The 14,159-nt window shown below is 40.0% G+C and overlaps 1 protein-coding gene across 21 annotated transcripts in view; it reads right to left on the bottom strand.

Annotated features, from left to right (window-relative positions):
• The window catches only part of ERC2 (ELKS/RAB6-interacting/CAST family member 2), a 960,157-nt gene that overhangs the window by 585,633 nt on the left and 360,365 nt on the right, over nt 1–14,159 (bottom strand). The window lies entirely within an intron of this gene.

The raw sequence follows: 14,159 nt of genomic DNA on the forward strand, positions 1-14,159 counted from the left end.
GATGGAGCAGACTTGGGAAACATTGTGGGCTCTAGTGGTTTATGGTAGACAGTAGCATACTAAAGGTTCTGAAAAGTCCCACAGCAAAGATCTTCTTTAAATTGATTTAACTTACCTTTCCCCACATCTATTTTTTCCCACCGAACCCGTTCTTTTCTAAGAACACATAATAATATCCTTCAGAATATTTTTAGGAAAGGCTGTTCTAAAGTATCTTTAAGCCATCAAATTTGTAAGGTGTGGCATGGGTAAGAAAGGTTTGAGTGTGGCAAAATGGGAACACACTGCTGAAAGGGACTCAGAAGGCCTTGGCTGACAGTCTGCTGATACTTTTGAGATGCCCTCTGTGGCTAACACTGCATTAGGTGGTGCAGGAGGCTCCTGCATTCCCCAGGGCAACCTGTGATGTAAGTACTGCTTAAAGGTGAAAACAGTGGAGCTTTCAGGGCTCAGAGACCTAGTGTAGTAGAGCTATGGCTTAAAGCCCCATCTTCTGGTCCAAAACATACCCCAGCAGCCCATACCCTAGGTTCATTTCTGGCTCTGCTAGGACCTGGGGATGGGACCTTGGGGGAAGCTGCTTATTTCTGAGGGACTCAGTTATCTTTTGATAAAAAAATAAAATTGAGATAAAATTTTGCTCAATGACTTCTAAGGACTTTACCTAACCTAAATTTCATGTCAGGAGGTGAATGATCCAGCTGTACTGTATTGAAACATATTTAAAGCTTTGGTAATTAAAACAGTTTGGTAGTGATGCAGGAAGAAAAAGACAGATCAGTCCATGAACAATAATGAGGGAGTCCAAAATAGACTGACATACACATATAAAGTTAGTATATGATAAAGGTGGTAGTTAGATTCAGTAGGGGAAACATGGATTATTCCATTGATAATGACTGAAAACTTACTTTCATTTAGAAAAATAATAACAGTGAAACTTTACCTAACTCTTTATGACAAAAATAAATTCCTAATAAAGAGTTAGATGTAAAAAATTAAATCATAAAAGTGCTAAAACAGATGGGGTTGGGGGCAGTGGCTAACGCCTATAATCCCAGCACTTTGGGAGGCCAAGGTGGGAAGACTGCTTGAGGCCAGAAGTTTGAGGCAAGCCTGAGCAACGTAGCAAGACCTCATTTATACTAAATAAAATAAAAAATTGTTTGGGCATGGTGGTGCAGCCCTATAGTCCCAACTACTTGGGAGGCTGAGGCAGGAGGCTGCAGTGAGCTATGATTGCACCACTGCTCTCCAGCCTATGCAACAGAGTAGGACATGGGCTCAAAAACAAAAAGTATTAATATAGATATATGAAAAAATTTTAAAAAGAAAATATGGGGGCCCTTCTTTTTATTCATAGGGTATAGGAGCCCTTTCTAAGCAAGAGAAAAAGCCTAGACACCATAAAGTAAAAGACAGATAAATAAGATTAAATTTAAATTGAAACTATCTTCATGGAAAAAGACAAACGGCAAATTGCAGAAAATTTTTGTAAAGGCAAAATGTAAAATGCAGCGTGTATTCCAGTATGTCTAACATGTTTCCAATTGGGAAAAAAGAAAGAACATTTGCTTGTGTGCACACAGGCTATTTCTGGAAAGATGCATAAGCAAATGAAAAGAGTTTATTAAATGCCTCCTTCATGCTCAGTTAAATGAGTGATAAAAACAAGGATTAAATGAACACATTTGTCAATTTCACTTGTAAACTAACCAAGGAATCCCACCCAAAGATTCCTATGAGGAACTAACTCAGTGTAAGAGAAATCTAGTTAGGCCCAGAGCTCCCAGAAAATTAATTGATTGCCTGCATTTCTAGTTTAGCCCTTTCTTGAGGACAGAAATGCTGCAGGTGGAGGAAATGGCCAGGACACACTCTGCCCAGGAAGAATTATCCATGGTGGTACATATTATAGCTGTTATGACTCTTTATCTAGCATATTAATACATTGTAGGAAGGCAGGAAAAGAGTAATGGCTGCAAGTCGGAGCTCTTGACTCCTCAAGGTCAAATCTTAACCTTCCACTTACTCACCATGGCTTAGGGAAAGAAAGATACAATCTCTCAAAACTCCAGTCTCCTCATCCATAAAATGAGGGTAATAATAGTACAGATACTATGAGGATTAATTGAAATATGACTTTTAAGATGTTTTATTATAAGGCACTAAGAGATAAAGTAGAGACAATCACTGAACAGCAGCTGCTGTTTAATAGTGAAAAGTGACATAATTTATGATTACCATGATACATTATATATTCTATCATCTACATATGATTAGTAAATTTAGTCATTAGAGTATTTATGTTAATATTCTAGCAGTTATCATTAAAAGCTAATCTCACTGACAATAATGATAACATTAGCTAATGCCTAGGAGGCATTTTCATGAGGCCCCTCAGCATTTTTGAGACAGGGTGAGTTCTTGTTCTCCATTTTAGAAGGCCCAGAGCCACATGGCTTTTAAGCAGCAAAGCCAAGACATCACGCTCAGAAGGAGGAAAGCAGGAAATATCTGAACAGCATAAATAGCAACCAAAGCAGTGGAGAGAATGTGGTATGAAGCAAAAAAAGGGTGAATGTACTAAAATTATGACATGTATCTTATCCTTTCTGACATATATAGATAGATATTTATATACAAGGTAGGTATTATTTAGAAGTAAAAACTTCGAATCTCTGAGACGTCTCCTAGTTATAATGATAGAAGTGTCACTTATACATGTAAGGCGTTTATTATGTACATTTATATATTATTACACTTACATGTGTGTGTGTTGTGTGCTATTCTGCATCCAGTCTAAAGTGCTCCAAACAAAATGTCATCAAATGGAAAATCCTTCAAAATGCCAAGTGTAAATAACACCTTCCCTCTATGTATTCTTATGTTGTAATGTTTCAACTTCAGCCAAATATTTAATACTGAAATAGTTTTAACAAATTTGCTCTTCAAAAGAATGAAAACATGTATCCTATCCTCAGACATTCAGAAACATCTTTTATGCCCACAAATGCTGAAGGAAAGAAAGGTTCACTACTGAGGTTCCATTGTAACACCTCCCACTAAGGTGTGTGTTGAATTTAGGAACATACTTTCACATTTAAGCCAAGTTGGGACTTCACATCATTGAGTTTTAGGAAGAGCATAAATGATTCTGAAATGGGCGGTAACACCAAACTCTGTGCAAATTTACCTTGGCCAGAGCAAGTGATTGTTTCTCTGTTGGGACTTGTTACAGCCTCTTCCAACTTGGAAGCATTTTCATACTAAGGAACACGGAGCTGGAAAAAGAACTGAGCTCCATGAGTAAAGAAGACAATCACTATAAAAACTAAGCTGGAAGCAAGAATTGCCATGATGTTAAAAAAATTAGAGTCAACCTACATATACTTATTGCTCACTTTTTTTTTTCTTAAAGGCAGAGCAACAATCATCCCTTTGCTAGTATACATCATGGCTCCTGAAAAATATCACAGCACTTATAGCAGTGAACATTTTGGTATGGAAAATCTGTTTCATCCTGCGAATTTTCTATTTCTGTGTGGGTTTGTGTGTGGGTGTGTATAAATCAATTTACTGTGTAAGCATTGAGTCAACAATATTCTATTGTATTACTCTTGAGGCAGTGGTTTCTTTGTTCATAGTCCTACAATTTTATGAGAGAAATCATAACTTAACTGCTCAAAGAGTAACAATTGGTAATGGGAAGTTCCCACCGTTTTCACATCTGTAAGATGAAGAGGTGGAACTCACTGATCCATTTGCAACTCTGACATTCTGTGATTTTTATGATGCCATTTTGTTAGTTCATATTATGCAATACTGGGACCCAATAAAACACCCACAAACTAAGGGGCTATTGTTTCTGAGCAGCCTGATATCCTATCAGCAAACCTGGTCACTAGGCATTTACCCATTTAAACAGTAAACATTTGCAGTGCATTCTAAGAGGGAGATACAGAGAGTATTTTGCATCACATTTAGCCTTCCAAACAGAATATCTTGGATTGCAAACAAAAAATCATGCCCCTAGCTTTAACAATTACCAATTTTATAGGGAGGGGGAAAATGTGCTGATAGCATCCTATCTAGCTGAAACACAAGAAATACCCAGAAATGAGAGCACTCATCTAAAAGGAAATACTGTCTGAGCCAAAGGGGGATGAATATGTCTAGAAACTACAACCTTCTGATGATGGATAAACCAAATGCATCAAGCAGAGCTTGCCACTCTACAGCATTTCAAATGCAAGCAAGTTTGCGCAAAGACAAGTAAGGATGTTTTCAGGCCAAATATATTGCCCGACTCCTTTATAAACCATACGAATAGCAGAATTTGAGTCTTTTAAGAAGCAGTCACCATCAACCAAAGTGGTCTCAATTTCTACTGTAGTTTTAGAAGTGGAGCGTGAGGAAAGACACTTCTTCCCTCCGAGATTCTTCTTGCCAGGCACTTTAGATCCTGCCAGGAAGGACATAAATGACCAGAAACATGAACAACCACCTCCACTTCATCCCTAGGCATTCCCTATGAGGCACAGGTTTTGCTGCATAAAATATGTTCGTGTCCATTTACATTAAGCTTGAATTCCTTGGCCTCTTATGACATCATTGAGACTGGTCATTGGAAATGTTTCAATGAGACTGACTGTTCATACCTCTCATAAAGTGCTCTGTTTATCATCTTAGGGAATCTGCTTGTTTGTATCACAGGTCCACTCCAGTCTGTTGGAAGCAGCTTCATAGAGCCTAATGTTAGGAAGGATCCTAAGGCCACATCCAGACTTGGTGAAAAGATGGGCAGGATGAAGCAGTGAGGACTTCTAGACACACAAGTTTGGGGAGCCATGGCATGCCTATATTGGCCCCCTTGATCTAGAACACCCAACCCTGAATCTTCACAGGTACATGCATGGCTGGCTCTTCGTTCTTGGACTAGGCTTATGTATCCTCCAATCTTGAAAAATTGATTTAGTACCTGTAATGAGTTGAATGGTGGTCCCCAAATAGATGTGTCCATGTTCCAGAACCTGTGAATGTGATCTTGTTTGGATAAAGTGTCTTTCAAAATGTGATTAAGAATCTCAAAATTAGATCATCCTGGATTATCTGGGTAAGCCCTAAATCCAAAGATGAGTGTCCTTATAAAAGACACACACAGCAGAGAAGAGTAGAAGGCCACGTGAGGACAAGAGAAGAGACTAGAGCTATGCAGCCCAAGTGAAGGAGCCTCCTGAAGCTGAAAGAGACCAGGAGGATTCTCCCTTAGAGCCTCTGTGGGGTGTGCAGATTTTGCAACACCTTGATTTCTGATTTCTGGTTTCCAGAACTGTCAGACAATAAACTTCTGTTGTTTTAAGCCACCAAGTTTGTGGTAATTTGTTATGGCTGTCCTAGAAAACTTATACAGTATCCCCTTTCATCCATCCACTTACCACTACCAGCTAATGTTTATTATTTTTTATGGGGATTCAAAGACCAATGAAACACCGTCCCTGCATTTCAGAGGCTCTTGTTCTACAGGGAGTGATACGTAAACCAACAACTATGGGAGTGAAGCACAGAACTCTCCTGAAATAATGTTGAAAGCATCCTCAGAGGATGTAACATGACTGTGGTCCAAGAGTCTCCATCAATAGAGCCGGAGGGGAAGTACACGGGATCTCCACAGTGGGCAGACAGGACACCGAGGGGCCATGTGCGAGTTGCCAGATCCTAAAACTGTGTCCACCATAGTTGGTGAGCTTGGATGGCATCTTTTCCTGTGGGAAAAACAGGGAATCTGTAGAAAGTGCTGTTCCTGGTGAAGTAAAGGATATGTGAAGGTTTCTTTTCCTACCTCAGTCCTGCTCAAGAACTCAGAGGTCTAAACTCCCTTTCATGAAAACACAGACTTTCTACTCCTGACCTTGCATCTTGCCTTTCCCCCTTGCCAGACACATTTGCCTGAAGTTTCCTTCCTCCAAAACTCTTTGCTACATGGAATCCCAGCCTTCCCAAAAGTCTTTCCAGAGAACCAGCTCTACGAGCACTCTTATTGGGGAGAAAAAAAAAGGACTGAGGGGAGGCAGAAGACATTCCAAAGTAACATAAATTTGGGAAATGCTCTTTCAGGAATTTGCAAAATGCTCTGAGAAGTCCAGTTTAACTTTGGTTAATCAGCATTTCCCAAACCTATTTCACTCTAACATTGTCTTTTTTGTAACATCTTATTAATATCCTGGGGAACATACTATAGAAAATGCTGCATTTGAATAACGTTATTTTTCAAATGTAAGTTTAATAGATTATATTCTATATTTGGTAGGCCCTCCAATATATACTGCTGGCTTAACTCACTGTTGGAACATTTTTCCCTCTCCTGCCAAAAACCCAACACCTTTATCAAAAAGCATATCCCTTTACCAATGCCCTCTGATGACCACTAAGCAAGCAAGAACCAAGCACCCCAGTCCAAGGCACAGTGGTAGACCCTGGGAACATGACATTTCCCAGGTGGCATCCTTGCCCTTGATAGCTTACGTGACTTCACTTTATACAGCGTGAGTTAATTCTACACTCAACAAAACCACAAAATTAAAAGTATGTTAGAATAACCCTGCTGGGAAAAGATATTTCATTTTGATTGTTAACAATTCTAAGTATTGTTTGCACAAATGGGCAAAATATCTTACAAAATTTGCCTTCCTCATATGGCAAATTTCATCATATTCATAAGCATCCCTACGAACATGAAAAAATGAATTTTCTGAAACATCTTTCCTCAGAAGATCAGGGATAGGGCATGCTCCCATGCCATTCCTTTCTGTATATTCCCTGTCACCACTAGTTAGTTGCATTAACATTATTAAGTTGCAATATATTACACACAGTACAGTAAAAGCTGTAAAAATAAGCTCTTGGTTATTTCATGACTACACATGCTATAAGAGTTATTCAGAAGACGGAATTACAAGGAAAGGGGCCTAAAAACTCCCTCTCTTACCTCTAACAGTTGTCCTCAACACAGAAATTCAGGGGATAATCAAATTAAGGAGGAAAAAAAATCATCCTCTGTTTTTCTCTTCATACTACAGTTCTGAATGGAAAGTTATTTTCCAGGCAAAGATGAATGAAATCTGCTCTTTCTAATCTCTGTAAAGATTGTGAAAATAAAGATCCATTTCATTGGATAGAGTGATGTCTTCTCTGAAAAGCAGCCATATTCTGACATAATCAGAGATGAGTGGGCAGGACCTGCACTCTGCGGACTGCAGGCTGGTGCGCCTCCAGCCTGCACCTCCGTAACTCATATCACACCTCAGGAAAACGGACATCACAAGAACTGTTTCTGTCACTGAGGAAGATAAGAGCATTTACAAGTTGGACAATAACAACAATATTATAACACAGAAAGAGAGACTGTTTTCCTTCAAAGAGGAAACATCCACATACGTGCTTCACCTGTTCCTGTAACAGATGAGGAGTTTCATTCTAATTCCTCTTTAAAACAATGTAATAGTAACACAACCTACTGCTCTTTATTGAATGCCAGGCTAAGGGCATTACTGCTGGGGAGGTAGGGAGCATCATTCCTCCAGTTTTTAGAGAAGGGAAGTGAGCCTCAGGAAAGTAAAGGACTTACCCATGGCCCCACATCCACCGAAAATCAACCGGGCCTCCCCAGCCAACAGAATAGCCCAGAAACTGAAGGACCTGAAAAATGTAAGTGGCAGACAAATGGAATCCAACAACTCGGGTTTCCTGATTTCTAAATCCAGGTCCGGAGTAGCCATTGTGGTTTTAGTGTCCCTATAATATAGAGGAAGTCATCCATTAAAGACGGAAATGTACTGAGTGGGAAACATTCCAGCAAGAGGAAATTGGGTCACTCAGAGCCTCAGAGGAGAATGTCAAGGGGTTTGTGCTCAGACCTGCTGAGCAGATGAAAGTGGCCTATACACAACTCAGCCAAAGAAACTTTGCAGCTTTTCCCTCATCCTCTGCAACCGGTGTTGGTGTTGGGAGCATAAAAATGGATTTTGATTGGGCTACCTTTGAGAATTAGACTTTAAATCCAGCAAGATGTGGTACTTTCAATAACAATTGTTACCAGATCTTGTCACCTGGATGTTCTTACGCTCATATTTTATTCATACGTTCACTGGCTAACTTTTCCCTCCCTTTGCTTCACTTATGACAGAGACTAAACACTGGAATCGCAAATCAAATGCAAATGGAGGTCAGGCGAGTGACACAAGCGCTCCCTCCAGCTGGGTGGGACGGGGTGGACTGGCAGCCACACCTCATCCCATCCCCAGGGGCAGCCAGCCACACCTTAGCTCCCACCCAAGACTGCCAGAGGAAGCCCAGGCAGTGCTAGGGACAGAGCTTCACATCACCCAAGAAAAACTAGAAACCTACATTATTACATGAAATGTCATGATTTTTTCATTCCTGGCAACTTATTTTGATATCTTTAAGAAAAAAACAAAACCAAAAACAAAGAACACGGGGTGAGAACAGAAAACTGAATCCTGGGGACTGGATTCACCCCACAGGTTTCCAGCCTAGAAAAACTCTACTAAACACAGCAGAGTTCAGCAATGAGGAATATATTGAGATCATTCCATTTGAAAGACAGCCTAGAGAGCTTGTTAACAGTGTTCTGTTTTCCTAAGAAAAGGTTTACTTAGGAATATATAATTAGACAAAGAAGAAATATGCAATTCTGTGTCCTTTCTATTAATATTATGCTCTTCTAAACTACAAGCTAAACAAAAAGTTAAGTTGAATTTCTTCTTGAAGAAAGTGAAGGACTTAGCCTGCAACCCCAATTTCTTCTTCTTGAACCCACTGATGTTGATAAGTAGCTGGTATATTTTTGAACTTTAATAGAAACCTTGTCAAAAAAAGATGTGCATTATTCACTAAAATGATACATTAATACTACTTGCAAAAATGTATTTGACAACTTTTTTTTTGTCACCATTGACCAAGTTCCACGCTCTGTTGCTGAACTCTGAGGAAGCAAACAATGGTAAATGAGATAGTCCTATCTTTATCACTGGGTTAGCAGGAAGGACAACTAAATAAACATCCCAATAAATGTTGGTTACCTGTTAAAATAGGGGAGGGAGAGAGTCCTAAGGGGATGCAGGATGAATTAGAGAGAGCTTCCTGGAGGAAGGGATATTGAAGATGAGACGAAAGAGAAAATGGTCAGGGAAGGGGAAAGGATAATTTGAGATGAGATGATCTCAAATTCAGATGCAGGAAATAGCACTATGGCTTAGAGAATCTGAAGTGAGTTTGATATGCCTGCAGAATTCAATTGGCAGGGTGAAGTGGGGACAGTGGAGAGATGATACAGATGAACTGGGCCATGTTATGGATTCTGGGTTTTATCTTGATGGCAATAGGAAGTGGCATGATCAAATATGCCCGCGAGAAGAAGCACTCAGCAAGGATGTAATGGAGCCAAAAGTGTCACTCTGTGCAGAGACACAACCTTCCCTCCTCTCTAAGAGGGATGAATTCCCACTTGCTGAGCCAGCTCCCAAGCTCCCCTTTGTTGTGTAAGACCCAAACTATGGACTAAGCTAGTGGTTCTCAACCAGGACAATCTTGACGCCCAGGGACATTTGGCAGTCTCTGTAGATATTTTTGGTGGTCACAATAGGGAGGCAGGAGAGTGAGAGTGGCATCTAGTGGGTAGAATCCAAGGAAGTCTCCACAACAAAGAATTATCCAGCCCAAAATTTCAATAATCCCATATTGAGAAAATCTGAAATAATTTAACAAAAAAACTAGAAGTGTATCTATCTATCTATCTATCTATCTATCTATCTATCTATCTATCCATCCAAACTATTTTTTAAAGGGGCAGGAGGAGAGAAGGGGAGAGATTCCAAAAACCTACAAGACCTTGGTGTCAAGAGGAGTTTGCCAGGACTTAGAAGAGGTGAGAAGATACAGAATAGCTGAGTGTTAAAGAAGGAACCTGAGATAAAAAGAAGGAATAGTTGGTAGGAAGTTCAGCGGCACTGCTAGCCCAGTATCAATGCACTGTAAACAACCAGTGAATATTTGTCAGGTGAATGAATTAATGAATGAACAAACAGATACATCAATGAACTGGATCTTCTTTAATGAGTCAAAGTAAAGAACTGAGACCATCTTTGTCGCTATGACTTAAATGTTACTACAGACTGCTATGTCAACATCTTAGTTGTTTGTTCCAGCAAATCTTTGCCCAGAAAAAAAAAAATCATTATTTGCTCCAGGAAATTCCCATTGATAGACTTATTGGAGAAAATAATCTGCTCACTTTGGCAAACCATTGTCTTATCAATCACAGTTTATTCATCGCAACTCTCTTCAAGACCCTCACTTTGCTGTGTACAACAACCCTACATTATCACATCACAGACTTTGAACAATTCCAATTAGTTCTGCCTGAAAGGCCCATCTTAAACCACTTGAGGCCAAACCCCAAAGACCTATAAACATTTCACCTCTAATTTTCCCTTCTTAGACACTGCTAAGACTTTGTTGAGGTGGCATGCTCCCTCATTGGAATAAGGTATAAATTTAGCTGATGATATTTTGGGGCATTCAACAGAATGGAATTACTTTTTAATTACTTCGGTTATTGGGCTATGTGTCTTTGAATGCGACAGGACTAGGACACATTCTAGATCCTGTATTTTTTTTTTTTTTAAGTTACATTTTAGGGCCTGTCTGGGATTTTGAACCAAAGCTAAAGTACCCAGCTGTACCATGTCTTAAAATATCCCCAAAGAATTTCATCCATTTATTTAAAAATATTCCTGGGGTACCTGCTGTGTCCCAGGCACTGTTCTGGATGTTAGGAATATCAGTGAACAAAATAGTTTTCAGTCTAGTGGGAGAATGGGGCAGGGCAGAAGAAAGACAACAAGCGCTAAACGTAGTAAATAATTAGGTTATATAGAACGCTAGAAAATGTCATAGAGCAAGCCTGGGGAATCCTGCAGTTGGAGGGAGCTGCAGTTTTAAACAGGGAGATCAGTGTAAGTCTCCACTGAGAAGGTGACATTAGAGGGAGAGGACTTGAAGGAGGCAAGAGAGTTTGCAATGTGAGGAGCTAGGGGGAAAGCATTCCAGGTAGAGGGAAGAGCCAGCACAGAAAAAAAAAACAAAGATGGGCAGATGCCAGGCATGTTGGAGCAACAGCCTGGAGGCCACAGGGTTGGAATGGAGTGAGTGAGGAGACAATGGCTAGGAGACAAGGTCACAAGGAAATGGGGTAAGGACAGGGATGAAGAAGGGTTACACAGACCTGGGTGTCACTGTGAAGACTTTGGTTGATATGGTCACTGGAGGGTTTTTTGTTATTATTGTTGGTCTTTTTTTAAGACAGGATCTTGCTCTGTTGCCCAAGCTAGAGTACATGGTGTGATTACAGATCACTGCAACTCCAACCAACTCCAACTCCTGGGCTCAAGCTATCCTCCCACCTTATCCTCCTGAGTAGCTAGGACTACAGGTGTGCATCACCACACCTAAGTTGTTTTGTTTCTATTTTTTTAAGAGATGGGGTCTTGCTACATTGCCCAGGCTGGTCTTGAACTCCTGGCCTCAAGCAATCCTCCCACGTCAACTTTCCAAAGTGTTGGGATTATAGGTGTGAGCCATCATGTCCAGCCCCACTGGAGGGTTCCTGAGCAGAGGAAAGACAGAACTAGACTTACGTTTTAACAGGTTCACTGTAGAGAGGCAGTGGGAGAAGCAGGGAGAAGTTAGGAGGCATCTGCCACAATCCAGATAAGAATTGACTGTGCCTACACCCCTCAGTGAGGAGGATGAACAGTAGACTCATTCCAGGAAGAGCCAAGGAGATGTCTGCACAGGTTGGTTGAGGGGTGTGCTAGCTAAATAGGCATTTAATATAACTTCTAGACTGGTAGTCTCATGAAGAAATCAGGGTCAATCAGACACAAGCTGTCCTTATTCTTAAAACACAACTTGAAAGTCAGAAAAATGGGTAGAGGATCTAAACTTGGCACATGATTTCAGAAAGAATGCACAATTCAGGACTTATGTTTCTGGTACAGAAAGAAACTTGTAAGGCATGATTTGAGTTCACTGAATAAGAGAAGTTTTTAAAATTCCTTTATGAAGATCCAAACTGTATACTAATGTTCACTATAATCTTGATAGGTGTCTAGTTTCTTAATAAAGTAGGATCCCTTTTGCACTGGGGGTGGGTGGGGATCCTTGAGAAGGGCCTGCCTGTTCGCTAGGCAGAAGGTTCAACAGGAAGAACCACAGTGAAGAGAGCCAAGCTCCGCCTGGCAGCACCTCCAGAGATACAATAGAATTACACTGGCCCCATGGAAAAAGGAAAATAGATAGAAGTTCACCTGTAAGCAGAATGATCCAGTTATGTATTAGAGCTCCCTTCGTGGAGGTCTGCAACTGGGAAGAAGGAACCAAAAGTATTAATGTTTAACGAGGACACAACAATAAGTGTGTTTATTCTTCACTGTCCTGTTGTCCTAGTGTTGAAGGGGGAGGGGCCTTTAACTTGGGGTTGTCTTTAGGGCCTTTCTGGACTCTGGGGACAAAGAAAATAGAGGAAACATAAAAATAGCCCAGAGGTTAGGTACATGTTTTGTTTTCTGGTTTACTTATTTATTTTTTTAAATTTGTAATGCTGAAAAAATGGAGAGCAAGGCAGAGAGAAAAGCCACTTTGGTCAAAGACTAGCCATGAGGGAGTAACAGCAGCCCTGGGGTGTTCTTTGAAAATGGGACAAGTGTTGCTAGTGTTTATAAACTGGCTTATATTTATCAGCATTCTTGTGCTAGCAAGTCACTGGAAATATTTCCAGTTAGTTTAAGAAGAAAAGAGGATTTAGTGATTTATGTGATTCCTTGGGATAATGTTCTTTGGGATATAGAAGTAAAGATTACTTTTTAATTACTTTGGCTGCTGGAGGTGTTTCATTGACTGTGACCTAATCACCACGGTGAATCAATCAGAGGTGATCAGGTGTTAGGCCCAGCCAATCGCAGCCCTTCTTAGGACCACGTAATGCATTCAATACGGAAACATGTTTTATTCTATTGGGGTTGCAAAGATGGGAGGATATGAACGAGGATATGATACTGGGTCTGCTGATGGCCCTGGCATCTTCCAATATATAGCCCCCAAAAAGGAACAAAAGGCCAAGATATTGAAGGGGGAAATGAAAGAAATGCAATGATGGCAATGTTTGAGTCTCTGGATCCAGCTATGTCTAAAGTCAATGCTATCCTGAAATTTCCAATCACACAAATCATTAAATCCACTTTTTTTTTTTTTTTTGCTAATTTTAAAAGAGTTGCAGTTACTTGCTAGCATAAGAATGCTGACTAATGTAAACTGAAGCCCATTAAGCTTCCCATTCCTTCTTTAAAATGAACTATAAATCCTCAAACTAAACACAATAGTCTCTGACTCAACCAAGGGGCTTTGGGTCCCAGTCTCAGTTTTCCCAGGCTGCACCCTTACTGACCTACTCTGGTCAAGCCACTCACCCAGTCTCTGCTTCAGTTTCCTCATCTGAAAAAATGATGGGCTCTCAAAGACCCTGTCCACCTCTGATACTCTGCTTTCACCCTAAAAATGTGCAGGCAACCACAAGAGCTAAAGCACTCGGAAACTATTCCCCATCACCAAAGCCACCCTTCTGATTTTTTCATTACACCAAGACATTTTACCTAAATAAAATATAATAAAACAGGGAAAACTAAGTACCTATTTAAAAAGCCATTGACTGAATCTTCTCAATCTAACAAAGTAAGGGAAAAATGTGAGACATGACCCCATCCAAAGTAGAAAGCCTAAATAGTAACTGATTCCTACTGTAATAGCAACTAGGTGAATTTTTTCAAACTTTCAAGAACAAATGTTTTCCATATAAGATATACTACTCAACAACAGAAAAAAATTGTTAATTGATGCTGTCAAGAAATCTTACTATCCTGTAAATCAACACACAATCTAGCTATGTACATATATAAAATCCTCCTTATTAGTATGGATACAAAAGTCCTAAATAAAACTAGCATATGGAATTTAAAATACTTAGAGACAACACCATAACAAAAAGGCTTTCACCTAGGGTCCTTTAGCCTAAGACACTTTAT

Source organism: Homo sapiens, chromosome 3 (assembly GCF_000001405.40).
Source record: "Homo sapiens chromosome 3, GRCh38.p14 Primary Assembly".
NCBI classification, from domain to species: Eukaryota; Metazoa; Chordata; class Mammalia; order Primates; family Hominidae; genus Homo; species Homo sapiens.